This window comes from Homo sapiens, chromosome 10 (assembly GCF_000001405.40).
Source record: "Homo sapiens chromosome 10, GRCh38.p14 Primary Assembly".
Taxonomy (NCBI): domain Eukaryota; kingdom Metazoa; phylum Chordata; class Mammalia; order Primates; family Hominidae; genus Homo; species Homo sapiens.
This window is the reverse complement of record NC_000010.11, coordinates 94,152,730-94,176,073: the sequence shown is the minus strand read 5'-3', so window position 1 is coordinate 94,176,073 and position 23,344 is coordinate 94,152,730. Positions and strand designations below refer to the sequence as shown.

General features: G+C 39.5%; 1 protein-coding gene and 1 pseudogene across 32 annotated transcripts in view; one reads left to right on the top strand and one right to left on the bottom strand.

The window, feature by feature from the left end:
* The window catches only part of PLCE1 (phospholipase C epsilon 1), a 338,893-nt gene that overhangs the window by 156,750 nt on the left and 158,799 nt on the right, over nt 1-23,344 (bottom strand). For all 32 annotated transcript variants that reach the window (XM_047425285.1, XM_047425289.1, XM_047425297.1 and 29 more), the window contains one exon: nt 4,578-4,894. In XM_047425285.1, the coding sequence (XP_047281241.1) occupies nt 4,578-4,894 (317 nt within the window). The remainder of the gene's footprint in view (nt 1-4,577; nt 4,895-23,344) is intronic.
* RNU6-657P (RNA, U6 small nuclear 657, pseudogene) lies at nt 20,329-20,434 on the top strand (annotated as a pseudogene).

Here is a 23,344-nt window from a genome sequence, read left to right as displayed (position 1 = left end):
TATACCCCAAAGAAAGAAAACCAATCTATTGAAGAGATATCTGCACTCCCATGTTTATTTCAGCACTATTCACAATAGCCAAGATTTGGAAGCAACCTAAGTGTCCATCAACAAGATGAATAGATAAGAAAATGTAGCACATATATATAATTCAGCCATAAAAAAGAATAAGATCTTGTAATTTGCAACAACATGAATTGAATTGAAGGTCATTATGTTAAGTGAAATAAGCAAGGCACAGAAAGATAACCTCTGTGTGTTCTCACTTATTTGTGGGAGCTAAAAATTAAAACAATTGAACTCATGGAGACAGAAAGTAGAAGGATGGTTACTACAGGGTGAGAAAGGTAGTAGAGGGGAGTGAGGGAGGAAGTGGGGACAGTTAATGGGTACATACAATAGTCAGAAAAAAATGTAAGATCTAGTATTTGATAGCACAAAAGAGTGATATAGTCAATAATAATTTAATTGTACATTTAAAAGTAACAAAAGGAGTGTAATTGGATTGTTTTTAATACAACGGATCAGTACTTGAGATGATGGATACCCTATTTACTCTGATGTAATAACACATTGTATGCCTGTACCAAAATATCCTCTCTATCCCATAAATATATACACCTACTATGTACCCACAAAAATTAAAACTAAAAAATTGAAATAAATAAATCTCTTGAGTGAATGAATGAATGAATGAATGAGGGAGTAATGGCAGGAACCTAGATAATGGGAAACTGGATAAAAATCAGAAAGAGAAGTAGAAAAAAGATAGACACACAGGAGATTTTGAAAAGAAATAGAAAGAGAGGGAGGGAAGAGGGAAAGGAGACCCAAGGCTAATGAAATTCTCAATTAGCAAGTCAGGTTTTACTACAGACTTGAACCTGATAATTTAACAAGAGAGAAGCAGCTGGGTGAGAAGAGATAGACTTTGAAGAAAGATCTGGATTCTGATATCCACTCAGCTACTTAGACAAGTGACTCAATCTCTCTGAGCTCACTGCTTACAATTTTTTTTTATTTTGAAGTAATTTTAGATTTACAGAAAAGTTGCAAAAGACAGTACAGAGAGTTCTTGTACACCCTTCACTCAGCTTCCTCTAATGTTAGCATCTTTCATAATCATAGCACAATTGTCAAAACCAGGAAATTAACATTGATACAATCATACTAACTAAACTATGAGCCTCAGAGTTTCTCCAGTTTTTCCATTAATGTCTTTTTCTAGTCCATGGTCCACTAGGATCCCACACTGCATTTAGTCGTCATGTCTCCTGGTCTCCTCTAGCCTTTAACAGTTCCTCAATTTTTTCTTACCTTTTATGACCTTGATGCTTTTGAAGAGTAGAATGTCCTTCAATTTAGAGTTGCCTGATATTTTTTTTCATTGCTAGATTTATGTGGTGTGTTTTTGGCAAGAACACTATAGAGATGAAGTCCTGCCTTTCTCAGGGCATCATATCAGGAGGCATATGTTGATATGTCTCATTACTAATCATGTTAGCCTTGATCACTTGGTCAAGCCAGTGTCTACCGGGTTTCTCCACTGTTCTATTTTCCCCTTTGTATTAATAAATACCTTGTGGAGAGATGCTTTGAGACTATTTGCAAATGTCCTATTTCTCATCAAACTTACTTTTGCCCAATAATTTTAGAATTCATCAGTAGTTCTTGCCTGCAACAGTTATTACTGTAGTATTCTAATGATGATTTTCTATTTTTCTCATTCTTTCTACATTTATTAATTGAAATTTTTCTATAAGTAAGTGCTGTCCCTACTCCCCAACCCCACCACACTGATGTATTTATATCGGTATGGATTAAAAAATATTTATTTTACTCTATGGGCCATAATCCAACACTGTCATTATTTATTTTGTTGCCTAAGCTTCACTTTCCTCATCTGCAAGACAGGGTTGATGACAACTGTCATAAGAACTGAATGAGATTTTAAGAAATGTGAAAATGTCCAGTCCAGAGCATCTATTAAATAAATGCAAACTCCATTTCTTCCTTTTCTTTACAGTATGTAAAGCCATGCTAATTTCAAGGCAAGGTCACTCAAAATAGGTGAAAAATCTGAATTTGAAAATTCTCTTTTGATGTAATGGAACTTTTCTACTTTAAGGTATACAAAAGAACTAGAATTTAGCTATTCCAGTCGTGTCCAGTAGAGATCATTTGGGATCTGACTATGTAAGACTGATTTTTAATCAGCATACCCATAATTTGTATGAAAATAGATGCTTGAGAATACTTGAAACAGACTGTTCTCTTAAGTAGTTTAAGTGTTTTCCCAGAAATCTTGTTTACGTTCTGAAGTTGCTTAGCTAAACTATTTTCAGAGATAGTCCAAAGCCTGCCTCTACCCAGCTGTAGGTCATATCATCTCTAACTCTGAATTAGTGAAATCACTGATTCGTCTTTGATTCCCAAGGTTATGGAAGTGAATGGAAGAAATCCAAGTTTAGTTTAAAATTAGATTTTAAAAGTTTTGGCAATTCACTTTTAAGTTCAGGTCGAAATTTAAAAATAAAGACAAGATAGGGTCCTAAGGATGTGAGAGTGGGTAGATCTGGAAGTTTAAAATAATTCATGAAATACAGTGAAATCCACTAATAAAATCACTCAGTTTACTGGAACTTTCATTTTTCCATCCCATTTTTATCAGTAAGGAAAATCAAGAACATCAGGAGTTTTATTTTTAAAAACAACTTTGGGGCAGTGACATTTGCAAGCTCTCATGTGGACTCCCAGAGATTCTGTCTTACTCAGTTTGGGGGTGGGACCAGGAATCTGCAGTTTTAGCAGGCACCACCCCCCAGTGCAATCCTGCTGCAGGTGGGAAGCAGCATCCTATAGTTATTCAAAGCCCAGGGCCTGACTTTGTGGGCTTAAACCAAAATTGCCACCTACCACTTGTGTAATCTTGGGAAAATAACTTCATCTCCACATACTTCAGTTTCTCATTGATAAGATAGGGCTAATGACAATATCTGTCTCCCAAGGTTGTTGTAAGGAGCAAGTAAGTGGTACATATAAAATGGTTAGCACAACAGTGCCAGATAGACTGGTGTTCAGGACATGTCTGGATACAGAACCGCTTGAGCTCAGCCTCTAACACTCGTTGTATTCATGGGCCTTATCATGGTCACTGACATTTACAACCATCATCAGGATTTTGATTGGCAAGCTATGGAGGCTGCAAAGTGAGCTACAGTTAGAAAGTGTTTTGTGTTTTTTTCTAAAGATGGTGTCTCACTCTGTCACCCAGGCTGGAGTATAATGACGTGATCCTAGCTCACTGAAGCCTCTAAACTTCTGGGCTAAGGGATCCTTAGAGGGTCTCAGCCTCCACAGTAGCTGGGACTGCAGGTGTGCACCACCATGCCCAGCTAATTTTTAAATTTGTACTGACAAGGTCTTGCTATTTTGCCCAGTCTGGTCTTGAACTCCTGGCCTCAAGCGATCCTCCTGTCTCACCCTCCTAAAGCACTGGGATTACAGGCATGAGCCACCGCACCTTGCCAGAAAGTGTTTATGTAACACAGGATGACAGATCCTCAGACAATCAGAGATATATATGACTCAGAATAGGAATATCCTGTTAGCATTTAGGTAGAGTTTACTAAATGACCAAAATAGGCAACTACTCTGTGTTCAGCCAACTAACAACCAACAAACATACCAATTAAAATTTTGTGATTGAATACACAAAACAAAAGAAATTAAATCTAAAACATAAAATGTAGAATAGAAAACTCTGGGTGTGGGTTACATTACTAAGAGAAAGTGCCTTTTAAGCCCAAGAGTGCAGTCCGCCCAACCCCAGTACTGCATGGAGACTCCCTGCTCTTTCCTGACGCTCCTCCCTATCCCAGGGCCACAGGGATGTCAGCCAGTGGCTCTTGATCTCCCAGTGAGTCCCTAGACCCCCACGCAATGGCTTTGTCCTAAGTATTCCCAGACTCCAGTCACACCTGTCTTCTTCAGAACTGGCTTCTAATGTGGTCTCAGAGGCTTTGGATTGATATTCTGGGGCTGAGGATCTTCAGGGGATGCAGAGAGAGAACCGAGGTGATTCACTGCCCCTCAATGAATTGCCCCACGTTTCCTGCCTTCTCTGGTGACCTAGGTGTTTCTGCTGAGGGAGTCCTAATAATGGAAGGGGGTCAGGGGGTTGGTTATACGAATGTGGTCAGGGATCATGCTGTCAAAACTCAAAATTGAGACATGTGGTTTTAAAAGCACCTTTGGGAATGAGGGGTTGGTAGGGGAGAGGAAGGGGTTGGAGATTGGCATTCTGGGTGCCCAAAGGGACTAGGATTGGTGGACTGGGTAATGCAATAGAATGGAGTTGAGATCAATTAGGCTTAAGGGCAAGTTGGGGTACAGTGAGAGGAAGGATTGCAATGTGATGTCTGTCTCTTTGCCTGGAAAGAAAAACAGCCATCATGGAAGTGGCAAGACAGAATGAAATGAACACATCAGGAACAGACAAACCTAGAAGGGGAGGTATGCTTGAAAATCACTTACGGGTGAGTCAAATACCAAGACATCAAAAAGTGGCTTCTTACCTCATTAAACCTCATCACCAGATCTTCAAGGGCATTGTGCTCTCCATTCTGAGTGGTAAGAATCGACGCTGAGATGGATGCTTTGAGGCAGGGCAAGGAGCTCTGGCATTCAGGAGTGCCCAAGTCCCGTGTTAAGAAGCAAAGGTAGTCGACTGGCAAGACCCTGCGGTAAATAGTCTGCTCTTGCTCCATCAGGATGCTGGCGACTTCCTCTGGGAACTGGATGAGAGGCTGCAGATCGATCAGCTCCTTGCTGATCCCAGCTGAACTTGAAGGGAGGGCATTGGAATTGGCCACAGAGGGGCCTGGCTGGCGTTCTAAAACAAAGCAACAGAAGTCGTGGTTACATCAAATCTGGTGTCCCCTGCAACAGATATTTACTTGAGAGCCATTCCAAATCTTGTATGTTCTTTAACCAAATCCTCTGCTTAGTGAAGAGTTCTGTACTATTTTTCTTTTTACAAAGACCTTTCTGATATCTGTCCTATTTGTCTTCTAGTCACCTAATGAGGTGGGGGTGGAGTGGCGGTGGTGGTGGTGGTAGGGTTGGTTTTCCATTTTCAGCAGCAGCATTAATCTAGCACATAATTCCCCAACCAGTTTACTATGATACTTTGTAAAATACCATTTGCTTCCTTATCCTCCTTTGCTAACTACCATCAGAATGACATGAAATGAGGGTAGGTATAAGCATAGCCAACTTAAATGGAAGAGGAAAGAAGGCTGTGTGGTGAAGAATATGTATATGCATATTATGTGTAAATAGGCAGGACACCTGGGGACCCAAGGACTCTCTGGACAAAAGGTTTCAAAATGTCATGGTATTCTCTGCCAACCTGTCACCCTCAAAGAGTGGCTTTGATTTCACTGATATCTATTTGGGAGTTTGCAAGAACAGAACCATCTACAAACATAAGAAAGGAATAGGTAATAAGGAGATGTATCTAAATAAATAAATCTTAACTGCCTGGCCCACAACTGGTAGCAAGAAGGTGACAGAGGGATGCAGGAGAGAAGGTGGCAGTTCATGAGATGGAAGTACCAGAGTAGGGGATGCCTAGGCTCAAAATGATTTCTGTAATTAGAGCCACATACTTGCCTTCTCTTTATTTTGACACTGTCCCAGGCTGCCTCTTAACTTCTTACCTGTAATTCATTCATTCAACAAACGGAAAGTCTCTGATGAGCCCTAGAACAGAGTTTTCCAAAGAATGATCTCTGGAATACTGGCATTTACAAGAAAAACAGTTTTGTGGTCACCTGAGTTGGGGAAATGTCACATATTCATGTCACTCATTCTCTTCCTGGAAATACCTGTCATCCAGCCTGGACACTGGGTAACAGCAAAGTTCGTAAGGATGACTTCCTTCACATTCAGACCTCAGTATTCTCTGACTCTTTTCTAAATCTCCATTGCAGAAAACTTTGGAATTATCACTCCAAACTGCTTCATGTCTGTATTATTAAACTCTGAAGTCATCATCCCTGAATTTGACTTCTTTCTTCCCTTTTATTCTGTCTAACAAAATTTCTCTGTCCTCAGCAAACTTCTAGTTCCTTGGCCTTCGTCTGGTGCTACGATAAGCATTTTAGATGGCACTCACCAGCCAGAGATTCCCTAAGAAGACAGCTTGACTTTCCATCACAGGCATGTCCCAATCCCCAGTGCTGGGCAGACTCAAACCATCCATTCCTTGGCTTCTGGGCTGCTGTATGATGACACTGACAATTATGCTACTTAGTGATGGGGCGGGTGCTAATTCCTATTATCTAACTTCAGCTAGGCCCTCAGGGTGACTCAAAGTTGACACAAACTTATTTATTTTTTCCTAAACAACTCACTATCCTCTTTTCTATTCTTCTCACATTCCCAAACCTGCGTTTGCTTTCCTCACAGTCATTCGACTGTTTCTTAACTATGCTGAGACAGTGTAGGTCATGTCAGAAACTCCTTCAATTCAGATACCTTATATTTCTTCCATCTTCTGCTTCCCTGAGAATGGCATGTGTTTCCTCCTCTCCAAGGCCCACCCAGGTTTGTGATTAAATCTACCTTTGTCTCCTCCAGAACTTGCTTCAGTGGTTATCTCCACCTTTAATCCCTCACTTTCTACTGACTTCTTTGCATACCCAAATGTTCAGTTTCCTTTTTCCTTAAAAACTAACAAAAACGACATCCCTTATCCTTTAAACTCCAAACCTCTCTATCTTTTCCTTCACTATGTCCTTCTATACCAGGTAACCCACAGTCCCTGATTCCTTCCTCCATGAGTATGGTGACTATATCTTCTGATCAAAAAATCAGGCCATGCTCTCTGGCCAAATTACTAAACCAATGAGGACATGGGACAGAAAAATGGAAACCAGGTTGGTCCTGGTTGACTCTAAGCATTTTAATACATCTTTTGGACCAAATTACCAAAAATCTTCTGTAACAAAAAATGGAGACTATTAAATTATATTTGGTTCTATCTAAGCTCATATTAAAAAAAAATTAAAATCAGGTTGATGCTTAAATCTACCCTAGATGGCCTCCCCCTCCAGCTTTCTGAATAGTTTAGAAACTGCCTAAGTTTCCTGAAAATTGAATCAGAATGTGGCTTGATGAAAGAGGCCAACCGAAATTTCTAGATACTGATAATATATGTACAGTGGAATTAGCCAAATATAAGAACTCTTCTCAGAAGTAACCAACTCTAAGACATGATCTCGAACTATAGCACTCTGCAGAGGAAATAAAAATAACTCCAGTCACTTCTCTAATATATAAGAGAAGAGATAATGTAATACAATATGCAAATAATGTAAGATAAGATGTCATATGGGAAACTGCAATACATTTGAGATATGAATCACATGCTGTTACAATGAATAACAAGTCTAGTGACTGGTGGGAAACAGCAATAAGAGAGGCCCAAATAAATTAAAGAATAAAAAGAAACCTGGTCAGTGTAACCCTAATAAATCTGGCGGTCCCAGTATAAGCATGTATCTCAGTATAAGCATGACATCACACTCAAAGGAACACAAATTGAATGCTAGAAGCTTTGAAACAATGTCAACCTTTCATGTAGGTTTCCTTAAAGCTGGAATACCCAGGGATTTCATATTGTGTACCACAAAAAACATCCCAGAAGTCTTCTTGGGGCATAATTCTTTGTCTTCTAAGTTCCATACTTTTAGCAGCTGTTAAAAACACTTCCCACTTTCCCTCATCCTTGCTGAGCTCTCCCTATTATGTCCTCTTTCCTCTTCATAGGACACATTGCCCTAGTGCTCAGCTGTAACTCACCTCTGGGCCTTGCTCTCTAACAACATGGGCCACTGGAAGATGGATTTAAAACCGAGTAGCTCTAGGACCCCTGGTCCTTCCTCATGATCCATGAAGCAAAGTTCATAAAACCCACTGGACACTGTGGCTCTTCTCTTTTTAGAAAGTTTCTGGTGAATAAAATTATCCACCTCATTGTTTGCTCTCAGTCCCATATTCTTCAGTTAATAGTCATTCTAGGTCGGGCGCAGTGGCTCACTCTTGTAATTCCAGCACTTTGGGAGGCCGAGGCTGGCGGATCACTTGAGGCCAGGAGTTCAAAGCCAGCCTGGCAAACATGATGAAACCCTGTCTCTACTAAAAATACAAAAAATTAGCCAGGCACGGCAGTGGGTGCCTGTAATCCCAGCTACAGGATTAGGGACATGGATGAAGCTGGAAACCATCATTCTCAGCAAACTATCGCAAGGACAAAAAACCAAACACCACATGTTCTCACTCATAGGTGGGAACTGAACAATGAGAACACACCGGGGACTGTTGTGGGGTGGGGGGAGGGGGGAGGGATAGCATTAGGAGATACACCTAATGCTAAATGACAAGTTAATGGGTGCAGCACACCAACATGGCACATGTATACATATGTAACAAACCTGCACGTTGTGCACATGTACCCCTAAAACTTAAAGTATAATAATAATAAAATTAAAAAAAAAGAGTGCCTACTATGTGCCAGGCTTTGTTTTCAGCTACCCTGATGTTGAAATTTAGTGAACAAGAATAAAGTTTTGTTCATATGGAACACCCTAGGAAAGGACATAAACAATAAGCATAGTAAATGAGTAATGATGCATATGAGAAGGTGATAAAATTGTTATGGTTAAAATCAAAGAGGGTTCCTGGATGTAGGTGGGAAAGGTGTAGTGTTACATAGCATACCTTTTTTTTTTGAGATGAAGTCTTGCTATGTCATCCAGGCTGGAGTGCAGTGGCACGAACCGCCGCCTCCCGGGTTCAAGCGATTCTCCGGCCTCAGCCTCCCAAGTAGCTGGGATTACAGGCGTGTGTCACCATGCCCAGCTAATATTTGTATTTTTTAGTAGACACAGGGTTTCGCCATGTTGGCCAGGCTGGTCTTGAACTCCTGCCCTCAGGTGATCCACCTGCCTTGGCCTCCCAAAGTGCTAGGATTACAGGTGTGAGCCACCATGCCTGGCCCACATAGCATATCTTAACTAGACTGTTAGTGATTGTCTCATATTTTTCTGCAAAAGTGGGCAAAACTTTACCCTCCAAGGTGCCCGTAGCTTGGTCATAATCACCCTTTCTCATGTCTCAATGGAAGCCATTAATTGAGCTCTTAGTCCTCACCATTTATTAGCCTTTTGTGTTAAGTAACACATTTAATTCTCACAGTGAACCCTGTAAGGTGGTGTGATTATCCCCTTGCTATAGACGATAAAAAACAGGTCAGAAATGTTAAACATTTTGCTTAAAGACAAGCTGCTATTGAGAGACAGGGCTGAAATTTAATTGCAGCTCTGACTCCAAAAATCTGCCCTCTGTTACACTCAGCATTTTGAGGGATCCTTTGCAGAGGAGACATATTTCTACACACACACACACACACACACACACACACACACCTTTTTTCTCTTCTGGGTAGAGAATGGAGTTGAAGAGTTAGGCAGGAATACCTTACAGGATTCTGACTTTAGAAGGCATCTCCTCCCCAAGCCAGCTGAGCAACCTTCTGATCATGATTTTAAATTATATCTTATCAAAACCCGGCAGAATCTCCATGTACCTATGTTTCAGAAACTTTATCTTTCATTCTCATTCCATGTGAGGGGTGGTGAAATGGGCACAAGCTTTCTTGAGAGGCAAAACAAAATTTTAAACGTGTATTCTTTGTACTAGAAATCTTACTTCTAGGATATTATCCAACAGAAACTCTTGCAAAAATATAGACCAAGTGAGGTAAATGTATATGTACTGAAACTGAATTTATTTCACAAAAAATTTAGGACAAAAAAGCAAGTTGAGAACAATGGAATATTATCCTATTGAGGTAAAAAATAATTTTGTAAATATAGGTATATGTTGCATATCTGTCCAGTGAACACCAAACAAATAATAGTGTATAACTTACACAGTTCTGTTTTGCTCAACTTTTTTGTAATGCACATATAACAGTACTTTTGAAAATAGATCAAAATGAGCCAGGCATGGTGGCTCACACCTGCAATCCCAGCACTTTGGGAGGCGAGGAGGGTGGATCAACTGATGTCAGGAGTTGGAGACCAGCCTTGCCAACGTGGTGAAATCCCGTCTCTACTAAAAATACAAAAAGTAGCCAGGTGGGTGGTGGGCACCTGTAATCCCAGCTACTCGGGAGACTGAGGCACAAGAATCACTTGAACCCAGGAGGCGGAGGTTGCAATGAGCTGAGATGGCACCACTGCATTCCAACCTGGGCAACAGAGCAAGACACCGTCTCAAAAAAAAAAAGATCAAAACGATATCCAAAAAATTCAAGGCAACAAAATCTCAATCTTCTCATGCTCAAAAACCTGGTTCAGCTTTTTTTGGCCTGTTCAGATTTTTTTCCAATATATATGGTAATACTGTTTTTTTGTAAGTTACTTAAAGCTAAAATTAGAGGGGGGTGGAGCCAAGACAGCCGAATAGGAACAGCTCCAGTCTACAGCTCCCAGTGTGAGTGACACAGAAGATGAATGATTTCTGCATTTCCAACTGAGCAAATGGCACACCAGGAGATTGTATCCCACGCCTGGCTCGGAGGGTCCTACGCCCACAGAGCCTCGCTCATTGCTAGCACAGCAGTCTGAGATCAAACTGCAAGGCGGCAGCGAGGCTGGGGGAGGGGCGCCCGCCATTGCTGAGGCTTGAGTAGGTAAACAAAGCAGCCGGGAAGCTCGAACTGGGTGGAGTCCACTGCAGCTCAAGGAGGCCTGCCTGCCTGTGTACACTCCACCTCTGGGGGCAGGGCAAACAAAAGGCAGAAGAAACCTCTGCGGACTTAAATGTCCCTGTCTAACAGCTTTGAAGAGAGTAGTGGTTCTCCCAGCACGCAGCTGGAGATCTGAGAACAGACAGACTGCCTCCTCAAGTGGGTCCCTGACCCCCGAGTAGCCTAACTGGGAGGCATCCCCATAGTAGGGGCAGACTGACACCTCACACGGCCGGGTACTCCTCTGAGACAAAACTTCCAGAGGAAAGATCAGGCAGCAACATTTGCTGTTCACCAATATCCACTGTTCTGCAGCCTCTGGTGCTGATACCCAGGCAAACAGGGTCCAGAGTGGACCTCCAGCAAACTCCAACAGACCTGCAGCTGAGGGTCCTGACTCTTAGAAGGAAAACTAACAAACAGAAAGGACATCCACATCAAAACCCCATCTGTACGTCACATCATCAAAGACCAAAGGTAGATAAAAACACAAAGATGGGAAAAAAACAGAACAACAAAACTGAAAATTCTAAAATTCAGAGTGCCTCTCCTCCTCCAAAGGAATGCAGCTCCTCACCAGCAACGGAACAAAGCTGGATGGAGAATGACTTTGACGAGTTGAGAGAAGAAGGCTTCAGACAATCAAACTACTCTGAGCTAAAGGAGGAAGTTCAAACCCAGGGCAAAGAAGTTAAAAACCTTGAAAAAAGATTAGACGAATAGCTAACTAGAATAACCAATGCACAGAAGTCCAGCTGAAAACTATGGCACGAGAACTACGTGATGAATGCACAAGCCTCAGTAGCTGATTTGATCAACTGGAAGAAAGGGAATCAGTGATGGAAGATCAAATGAATGAAATCAAGCGAGAAGAGAATTTCAGAGAAAAAAGAATAAAAAGAAATGAACAAAGCCTCCAAGAAATATGGGACTATGTGAAAAGACCAAATCTACATCTGACTGGTGTACCTGAAAGTGATGGGGAGAATGGAACCAAGCTGGAAAACACTCTGCAGGATATTATCCAGCAGAACTTCCCCAATCTAGCAAGGCAGGCCAACATTCAGATTCAGGAAATACAGAGAATGCCACAAAGATACTCCTCGAGAAGAGCAACTCCAAGACACATAATGGTCAGATTCACCAAAGTTGAAATGAAGGAAAAAATGTTAAGGGCAGCCAGAGAGAAAGGTCGGGTTACCCACAAAGGGAAACCCATCAGACAAACAGCTGATCTCTCGGCAGAAACTCTACAAGCCAGAAGGGAGTGGGGGCCAATATTCAACATTTTTAAAGAAAAGAATTTTCAACCCAGAATTTCATATCCAGCCAAACTAAGCTTCATAAGTGAAGGAGAAATAAAATACAGATAAGCAAATGCTAAGAGATTTTGTCACCACCAGGCCTACCCTAAAAGAGCTCCTGAAGGAAGCACTAAACATGTAAAGGAACAACCGGTACCAGCCACCGCAAAAACATGCCAAATTGTAAAGACCATCACGGCTAGGAAGAAACCGCATCAAGTAACGAGCAAAATAACCAGCTAACATCATAATGACAGGATCAAATTCACACATAACAATATTAACCTTAAATGTAAATGGGCTAAATGCTCCAATTAAAAGACACAGACTGGCAAATTGGATAAAGAGTCAAGACCCATCAGTGTGCTGTATTCAGGAAACCCATCTCATGTGCAGAGACACACATAGGCTCAAAATAAAGGGATGGAGGAAGATCTACCAAGCAAATGGAAAACAAAAAAAGGCAGGGGTTGCAATCCTAGTCTCTGATAAAACAGACTTTAGACCAACAAAGATCAAAGGAGACAAAGAAGGCCATTACATAATGGTAAAGGGATCAATTCAGCAAGAAGAGCTAACTATCCTAAATACATGTGCACCCAATACAGGAGCACCCAGATTCATAAAGCAAGTCCTTAGAGACCAACAAAGAGACTTAGACTCCCACACAATAATAATGGGAGACTTTAACACCCCACTGTCAACATTAGACAGATCGATGAGACAGAAGGTTAACAAGGATATCCAGGAACTGAACTCAGCTCTGCACGAAGCGGACCTAATAGACATCTACAAAACTCTCCACCCCAAATCAACAGAATATACATTCTTTTCAGCACCACACCACACCTATTCCAAAATTGACCACATAGTTGGAAGTAAAGCTCTCCTCAGCAAATGTAAAAGAACAGAAATTATAACAAACTGTCTCTCAGACCACGGTGCAATCAAACTAGAACTCAGGATTAAGAAACTCACTCAAAACCACTCAACTACATGGAAACTGAACAACCTGCTCCTGAATGACTACTGGGTACATAATGAAATGAAGGCAGAAATAAAGATGTTCCTTGAAACCAATGAGAACAAAGACACAACATACCAGAATCTCTGGGACACATTTAAAGCAGTGTGTAGAGGGAAATATATAGCACTAAATGCCCACAAGAGAAAGCAGGAAAGATCTAAAATTGACACACTAACATCACAATTAAAAGAACTAGAGAAACAAGAGCGAACACATTCAAAAGCTAGCAGAAGGCAAGAAATAGCTAAGATCAGAGCAGAACTGAAGGAAATAGAGACACAAAAAACCCTTCAAAAAATCAATGAATCCAGGAGCTGGTTTTTTGAAAAGATCAACAAAATTGATAGACTGCTAGCAAGACTAATAAAAAAGAAAAGAGAGAAGAATCAAATAGACGCAATAAAAAATGATAAAGGGGATATCACACCGATCCCACAGAAATACAAACTACCATCAGAGAATACTATAAACACCTCTATGCAAATAAACTAGAAAATCTAGAAGAAATGGATAAATTCCTCCACACATACACCCTCCCAAGACTAAACCAGGAAGAAGTTAAATCTCTGAATAGACCAATAACAGGCTCTGAAATTGAGGCAATAATTAATAGGTTACCAACCAAAAAAAGTCCAGGACCAGATGGATTCACAGCCAAATTCTACCAGAGGTACAAGGAGGAGCTGGTACCATTTCTTCTGAAACTATTCCAATCAATAGGAAAAGAGGGAATCCTCCCTAACTCATTTTATGAGACCAGCATCATCCTGATACCAAAGCCTGGCAGAGACACAACAAAAAAACAGAATTTTAGACCAATATCCCTGATGAACATTGATGCAAAAATCCTCAATAAAATACTGGCAAACCGAATCCAGCAGTACATCAAAAAGCTTATCCACCATGACCAAGTGGGCTTCATCCCTGGGATGCAAGGCTGGTTCAACATATGCAAATCAATAAACGTAATCCAGCATATAAACAGAACCAATGACAAAAACCACATGATTATCTCAATAGATGCAGAAAAGGCCTTTGACAAAATTCAACAGCCCTTCATGCTAAAAACTCTCAATAAATTAGGTATTGATGGGACGTATCTCAAAATAATAAGAGCTATCTATGACAAACCCACAGCCAATATCATACTGAATGGGCAAAAACTGGAAGCATTCCCTTTGAAAACTGGCACAAGACAGGGATGCCCTCTCTCACCACTCATATTCAAAATAGTGTTGGAAGTTCTGGCCAGGGTAATCAGACAGGAGAAGGAAATAAAGGGTATTCAGTTAGGAAAAGAAGAAGTCAAATTGTCCCTGTTTGCAGATGACATGATTGTGTATCTAGAAAACCCCATTGTCTGAGCCCAAAATCTCCTTAAGCTGATAAGCAACTTCAGCAAAATCTCAGGATACAAAATCAACGTGCAAAAATTACAAGTATTCTTATACACCAATAACAGACAGAGAGCCAAATCATGAGTGAACTCCCATTCACAATTGCTACAAAGAGAATTAAATACCTAGCAATCCAACTTACAAGGGATGTGAAGGACCTTTTCAAGGAGCACTACAAACCACTGCTCAGTGAAATAAAAGAGGACACTAACAAATGGAAGAACATTCCATACTCATGGATAGGAAGAATCAATATCGTGAAAATGGCCATACTGCCCAAGGTAATTCATAGATTCAAGGCCATCCCCATCAAGCTACCAATAACTTTCTTCACAGAATTGGAAAAAACTACTTTTAAGTTCATATGGAACCAAACTTTCTTCACAGAATTGGAAAAAACTACTTTTAAAGTTCATATGGAACCAAAAAAGAGCCCACATTGCCAAGTCAATCCTAAGCCAAAAGAACAAAGCTGGAGGCATCACACTACCTGACTTCAAACTATACTACAAGGCTACAGTAACCAAAACAGCATGGTACTGGTACCAAAACAGAGATATAGACCAGTGGAACAGAACAGAGCCCTCAGAAATAATGCTGCTTAGCTACAACTATCTGATCTTTGACAAACCTGACAAAAACAAGAAATGGGGAAAGGATTCCCTATTTAATAAATGGTGCTGGGAAAACTGGCTACCCATATGGAGAAAACTGAAACTGGATGCCTTCCTTACACCTTATACGAAAATTAATTCAAGATGGATTAAAGACCTAAAACCATAAAAACCCTAGAAGAAAACCTAGGCAATACCATTCAGGACATAGGCATGGGCAAGGACTTCATGTCTAAAACACCAAAAGCAATGGCAATAAAAGACAAAATTGACAAATGGGATCTAACTAAACTAAAGAGCTTCTGCACAGCAAAAGAAACTACCATCAGAGTGAACAGGCAACCTGCAGAATGGGAGAAAATTTTTGCAATCTACTCATCTGACAAAGGGCTAATATCCAGAATCTACAATGAACTCAAACAAATTTACAAGAAAAAAAGAAACAACCCCATCAAAAAGTGGGCAAAGTATATGAACAGACACTTCTCAAAAGAAGACATTTATGCAGCCAACAGACACATGAAAAAATGCTCATCATCACTGGCCATCAGAGAAATGCAAATCAAAACCACAATGAGATACCATCTCATACCAGTTAGAATGGCAATCATTAAAAAGTCAGGAAACAACAGGTGCTGGAGAGGATGTGGAGAAATAGGAACACTTTTACACTGTTGGTGGGACTGTAAACTAGTTCAACCATTGTGGAAGTTAGTGTGGCGATTCCTCAGGGATCTAGAACTAGAAATACCATTTGACCCAGCCATCCCATTCCTGGGTATATACCCAGAGGATTATAAATCATGCTGCTATAAAGACACATGTACACGTATGTTTATTGTGGCACTATTCACAATAGGAAAGACTTGGAACCAAGCCAAATGTCCAACAATGATAGACCAGATTAAGAAAATGTGGCATATATACACCATGGAATACTATGCAGCCATAAAAAATGATGAGTTCATGTTCTTTTTAGGGACATGGATGAAGCTGGAAACCATCATTCTCAGCAAACTATCCCAAGGACAGAAAACCAAACACCGCACGTTCTCACTCATAGGTGGGAATTGAACAATGAAAACACATGGACACAGGAAAGGGAACATCACACATCGGGGCCTGTTGTGGGGAGGGGGAAGGAGGGAGGGATAGCATTAGGAGATATACCTAATGTTAAATGACGAGATAATGGGTGCAGCACACCAACATGGCACATATATACATATGTAACAAACCTGCATGTTGTGCACATGTACCCTAAAACTTAAAGCATATTTAAAAAAAGTTACAATTAGAGAAGAAAGTAGGAAAAACTTATTCTATCTACTCTATCCATTTTCCTTTGCTTTGAATTAACTTTGTAGACTTGTTTTAAGTATTAGATTCTCAATTGCACATTTAATAGTCCTTTAGTGGTACAATTCTAATTATATAAAATAAGAGAGAGAGAGAGAAGAATATTGATTTCTTCTTATAGAAGATTCAGAGCTGACTTAAATACATGAATCTCAGGAAGAGCTGAAAATTGCTTTCAACAGGGAAGTGATGGGTTTAGAAAAAGTTTGGTTAATTGGTGATTTTATCTTATTATCTGTTATTGGTTTTCAAAGTAACAAAATCCGTCTTGCAACAAATGTGTCTGGCTTGTCCTGAACATTACATGAAAAAGATGAGCTCACAAAATCAATGAAGCATATTACTTCTAAGTCAGTACTTAAAAGAGAAAAAAAACCCAATATATTCAGACTGAGTGTTAAGACATATTCAGATGAAACAATCTACCAGACAGAAGAGCCTTAGAGCAAAAAGAAAAAAGTTGACAGAATCTCCATTAATAAAAAAAACAACTTTTGCTCCAGTTCCAAAGAAACATGCTCACTGTGAAAACGTGGAAAATATAAAGAAGTATAAAGAAGAAAATTTGTGGGAGGCTGAGGCGGGAGAATCGCTCGAACCCAGGAGGCGGAGGTTGAGGTGAGCTGAGATTGCGCCATTGCACTCCAGCCTGGGCAACAAGAGCGAAACTCCGTCTCAAAAAAAAAAAAAAAAAAAGAAAAAGAAGAAGAAAATTTAAAATAATAATCTCATACCCAGAGGTAATCTCTGCTAATGTTTTTGTTGTTACATTTCATATTTTTCTATAAACACACACAATATTCACAAAATTAGGATCAGAGAACACATTTTTTTCTAACTTAAAAAAACTCTATAGTGCACTTTTCCCCCGACTCTGAAGCTATTCTTTGAATATTAGATTTTCGATGGCTCTTATATTTACAACTTTTTACCATTATAATAACACCGTGATAAACAATCTTGTAAATATAACTTTATCTGTGCTTATTATGTTAAATAACATTGAAAGAGAAAAATTCCCTACCCACATTGGGAAATTTCCAGGGAGCAGCATTTTCTCATCTGTTCTTTTTATGGCAAATTAATTAACTGTTTTATCAGTATCTGTCACTGATCACTCATCTATTTCTGATTACATTGGGTAAAAAGGAATACTTGAGTCAAAATTCACACAGTAAGTTATAATAGTGTGTTGTCTCATATAGGGGAAGATGGCATTACTGACTCAAAGTTTACAAGAGGGGAACTCTGGAGTGTTTTTGGTGACAATCTGATGCCCTCTTACCCAGCAGCATAGTCCTGAGGTATGGCTAACCTTCTAGATATGGAATGGTTTCAAAACTCAGCATAAGCAGGCAATCTGAGCTCCAAAGTCTGACCTGGGTGAGCTAACCTACACTAATTATTCTGAAAGGATTCTGTGTCTCTGTTTTATAACAATCAACAATCATCATCATAAATAAATTATAATATTATTTAACATATAATAATATAACATCTCAGTACTTACAATGTGCCAGGAATTGCATTAAAGCTCTCTTCCGAGATCTCACTCAATCCTCACAACCACTCTATGTAGACAGCACAGCACCCCACGCTGTTATTATTCCCATTAGCAGATGGGGACACAATTAAAGAACTTGCTGAACATCACACTGAGATAAATAATGGAACCAGTGCCACATCAGCCCAACACCAAAGTCCAGCATCTTGAAATCACCAGCCTACACTGACTCGAAGGTTTTCTTCCTTTTAGTCTCAATGTACAAATCAGAGGGTGAATGAGGCAGGACTTGGGCTGAATGCCTGAGTTGGAAGGAACTACAGGGATAGCTGGGATGAATTTTCCACACTTTACACATCAGAAAACCATGCCTCTGAACTTCTTGTCCAAGCCTCTTGCCCAAGGTCACAGAGCTGATTAGTGGCAAAGGTGGACCAGAACTCAGGGACCTTGACTCCCAGTCCAGGGCACTGCCTCCATACTCTACTGCCTCCCTTACTGGTGTGGTTAGGATCTCAGGTGCTGTAAGCTCCTGGGGGCAGCTCCCCCAGAGTAGAAGTAGAGTGGGATCTTGGGACTCACATGTATGTGTGATCGCAGCCCAGCTCAGTTGTTGACTTGCTTCATGACCTTGGGTATGTTCTAAACAACTATGGGTATGTCACAGTGATGATGGGGAAATTAAAACAAGAAAAAGCATGTAATGTTTACTACACATTCAGCCCTCAATAGTCAGCCATCTTATTATCATCATTAATTCAACATTTGCAAGAGGAAGAGGGAATTCTGGGGCCTTTCATCTTAGAAGCTCGACGAGGAGACTCAGTCATATTTCCAACCATTTCAGGCTATGGAAACTTTTGCTTTGTTTTTATAACCTGCAACTTGCACCCTTTGGTGTGGTGCCCACCATAATAAAAAGAAAATATTTTTTAAGATCCCAAGTGATACCTCACTTACTCATATAAAATGTCTGTATCATCCTGCCACACACTGTACTAATGAATCCCCCAATTTAAAAAAGACCTCGCCCCCCAAAAAACACCAAAAAAAGGCTGTTCTTAACTCGTCAGCTCTTCTCTCTATGAAAAGAATATGTGTGACATAATAAAAAATATATATATTTGGTCTCTGCTCCCAGTTCCTGACATAGGGCTCCTAAAACTCTAGGAGCATGTTTTTTTCTAATATATGGTCCTAAATCTCTTGGAGTTTCCTAGTGATAGGAGTGTCTTTTGTTCTAATGAGGTAACTTTTGGTGGGTTCCTGGATAGCTTCAAGACGAGGGCTGGGCACCAGAAAAACCAAGGCATGATTACAAGCTTGGAAGTTTAAGCCCCACCCACCATCCTCTAGGGAGGGGAAAGGAACTGAAGACTGACTAAATTAATCATGCTGAGGTGATGAAGCCTCAATAAAAATTCCTCAACTATGGCGTACACAGAGCTTCTGGGTGAATGAACACAAGGAGGTGCTGGGAAGGTGGTCACCCAGAGAGGGTATGGAACCTCCACACTTCCTTCCCCACACGTTGCTCTATGCACCTCTTCATCTGGCTGTTCATTTGCATCCTTTATCATAAACTGGTAAAGTAAGTAAAGTGTTTCCCTGAGTTCTGTGAGCCCATTAGTGCAAATGATCGAACCTCAGAAGACAGTCATGAAGACCCCCAGTTTGTAGCCAATTTGGTCAGAAATACCAAAGGCCCAGGACTTGTGATTGGTGTCTGAAGTGGGAGCAATCCTGTGGCACTGAGCCCCTACTTAACCCGTGGTGTCTGATGCTAGCTCCAGGTGGAAAATGTCAGAATTGTGTTATAAGACGCCCAGTTGGTGTCAGGAGAGACGGAGAATACATTCTTGGTATGGAAAACCCCACACATTTGGTGTCAGAAGTGTTGTGAGTGTAGAGGAAAACAGTTTTTTTTTCTGTTAATATTCACATCCCTTCCACTGTGGCATTATTATCACACCCCATCAAGATGTCAGAACATTCTCAGAGTTAAATTCTTTCATGCTAAAACATTGCTAAGCTATTTATGTCCATTCTTTTTTTAAACTGAGATATAATTCACATACCGTAACATTTATTTTCTAGGCTGGGCACAGTAGCTCACATCTATAATTCCAGCACTTTGAGAGGCTGAGGTGGGAGGGGCACCTGAGCCCAGGAGTTTGAGACTGCAGTGAGCTATGATTGCGCCACTGCACTCCAGCCTGGGCAACAGAGTGAGACCCTGTCTCTCTCTCTCTCTCTTTTTTTTTTAACTTTCTAAAGTGTACAGTTTAAAATATACAATTTGTGCTCACTTCAGCAGCATATATACTAAAATTGGAATGATACAAAGAAGATTAGCATGGCCCCTGCGCAAGGATGACATATACATTTGTGAAGCATTCTGTATTTTTTAAAAAACAAGAACAAAAAAAAAAGTGTACAATTCATGGTTTTTAGTATATTCACAGAGTTGTGTAACTATCACCATAATCAATTTCAGAACATGTACATCACCTCCTAAAACATGTAACCCTGTATATGTTGGCCATCACTCCACTCCCCCAGTCCCTCTCACCCAGGCCCTGACAACCACTAGTCTACCTTCTGTCCCTAAGGATTTGCCCATGCTGGACATTTCATATAATGGGATCATAGAATATGTGACCTTTTGTGTCTGGCTTCTTTCACTTAGCATAATGATTTCAAGGTTTATCAATGTTGTAATATGTATAAATATTTCATTTCTTTTTAATAACTGAATAATATTCCATTGTATGTATATACCACATTTTGTTTATTCATCAGTTGATGGACATTTGGTTTGTTTACATTTTTTGGCTGTTATGACTAATGTTGTTACGAGCATTTGGATAAAATTTTTGTGTGAATGTATGTTTTCACTTCTCTTGGGTATATAACTAGCAGTGGATTGTTGGATCATATGGTAACTCCTATGTTTAGCATCTGGAGGACATTCCAATTGTTTCCTACAGGGGTTGTACCAATTTAAGTTCCCAACAGCAATGCTTAGGGCTTCAATTTCCCCACATCCTTGTCAACACTAGTTTTCTTTCTTACTTTTTTTTCCCCCAATTATCTATCCTAGTGGGTGAAGTGGTACCTTATAGTTTTAAATAAATATATATATATATATGTATATATATATATTTAAAATAGAGACAGGGGTCTTGCCACGTTGACTAGGCTGGGCTTGAACTCCTGGCCTCAAGCAATCTTTCCACCTTGGCCTCCTAAAGTGTTGAGATTACAGGCGTGAGTCACCATGCCCGTCCTGTACTTTATGGTTTTGATGTTAATATTCCTAACGACTAATGATGTTGTGCATCTTTTCACATGCTTATTGGCCATTTGCACATTTTCTTTAGAGAAACATCGATTCAAGTCCTTTGCCCATTTTTGAATTGTGTTGTTGGGTTCTCTGTTGTTGAATTTTAGTTCTCTATATATTCTGGCTATTAATCTCTTATTATATATGTGATTTGCAAATATTTTCTCCCATTCTGTAGGTTGCCTTTTCACTCTGTTGATAGTGTCCTTTGATGCAGGAAAGTTTTTAATTCCAATTTATCTATTTTTTTGTTTGTTACCTGTACCTTTGGTATATATCCAAGAAATCATTGCCAGACCCAATGTCGTGAAGCTTTTCCTCTATATTTTCTATGAGTTTTATAGTTCTAGGTCTTCTGTGCAGGTCTTTGATTCATTTTGAGTTAACTTTTATACAGGGTGGAAGGTAAGGGTCCAACTTCATTGTTTGGCATATGGATATCCAGTTTCCCCAGCACCATTTACTGGAAGGCTTGTTCCTTCCCCATTGAATGGTTTTGGCATCTTTGTTGAAAATTATTTGACCATATATGTTAGGGTTTATTTTTGGGCTCTGTGTTCTATTCCATTGGTCTTTATGTCTGTCTTTATGCCTGTATCACAACATTTTGGTTACTATAGCTCTGTAGTAAGTTTTGAAATAAGAAATCTTTAAAAAAATTATTTTGGCTATTCTGGGTTCCCTATTCATTTCTGCAAAAAAGACAGGTTGAATTCTATAGAGATTGTACTTAATCTACAGATTGCTTTGCAAAGATATTGCCATTTGAACAATGCTAAATCTTCCATTTCATGAATACAGGATGTCTTTCCATTCGTTTAGGTCTTTAACAATTTCTTTCAACAGTATCTTGCAGTTTTCAATATATAAGTCTTGCACTTTTTTTGTTAAATTTATTCCTAAGTATTTGCTTCGTTTTCATACTACTATAAATGGATTTTTTTCTTGATTTCATTTTTGGATTGTTAATGGCTGGTTTGTAGAAATACAACAGATCTTGTACACTGCAACCTTGCTGAACTCATTTATTAATTCTAATAGTGTTTTAGTGGATTCCTTAGGATTGTCTATCTTTGAGTAGATCATCTGATAATAGAAATAGTCTTACTTCTTCTTTTCCTATCTGGATGCCTTTTATTTATTTTTGTTGCCTAACTGCCCTGGCTAGAACTGACAGTACATCTTTTTTGGTTCTTGATCTTAGGCGGAAAGTTTTTAGTCTTTCATCAGCATGTGTGATGTCAGCTGTGGGTTTTGCATAGATACACTTTATCAGGTTGGGGAAGTTCCTTTCTATTCCTATTTTGTTGAGTGTTTTTTTTCATAAAAAGATGTTGGATTTTGTGAAATCCTTTTTCTATGTCTGTTGAGATGCCCATGTGGTTTTCGTCTATTGTTCTATTCATATGATATATTGCATTGATTGATTTTCATGTTTAACTCTACATTCATTTTTATATGAATATATTACATGTTTAAGTATGGTCTAACTGAGAAGAGCTTTGTACGAGACCAACAGACATTTACTGTCGTTTTGCAATTCTGGCTCTAACTTGGACCTGTATTTTGGACAAGAACAGATGGTAAACTGCAATGTGACTGTAACCATGACTTCATATCATAAACAATCTGATATTTTTAAAAATTATGTTTGTTTTAAAGAAAGAAAATCTATATATATTTTGAAAGTAATGTTGAACATGCACCTTTTATTGTTGTTTGTTATTATCACATTTTCAACCTTTGATGATACGAGTATCAATTAAAATAGCTCTATGACTTAAAAACAGTACATGATATTTCTGATTTTGAACATACTATTGCAGAAATAACCTGTACCAGACTTTGGGTAGGCAAAGTCACTTAAGTTAATGAGAAAAACACATATGGACTTGGAATTTTTTCCCCTATAAAAGGAAGCAGTAATAATGATACTGATAAAATCACTTGCTAACATTTACAGAATGTGCT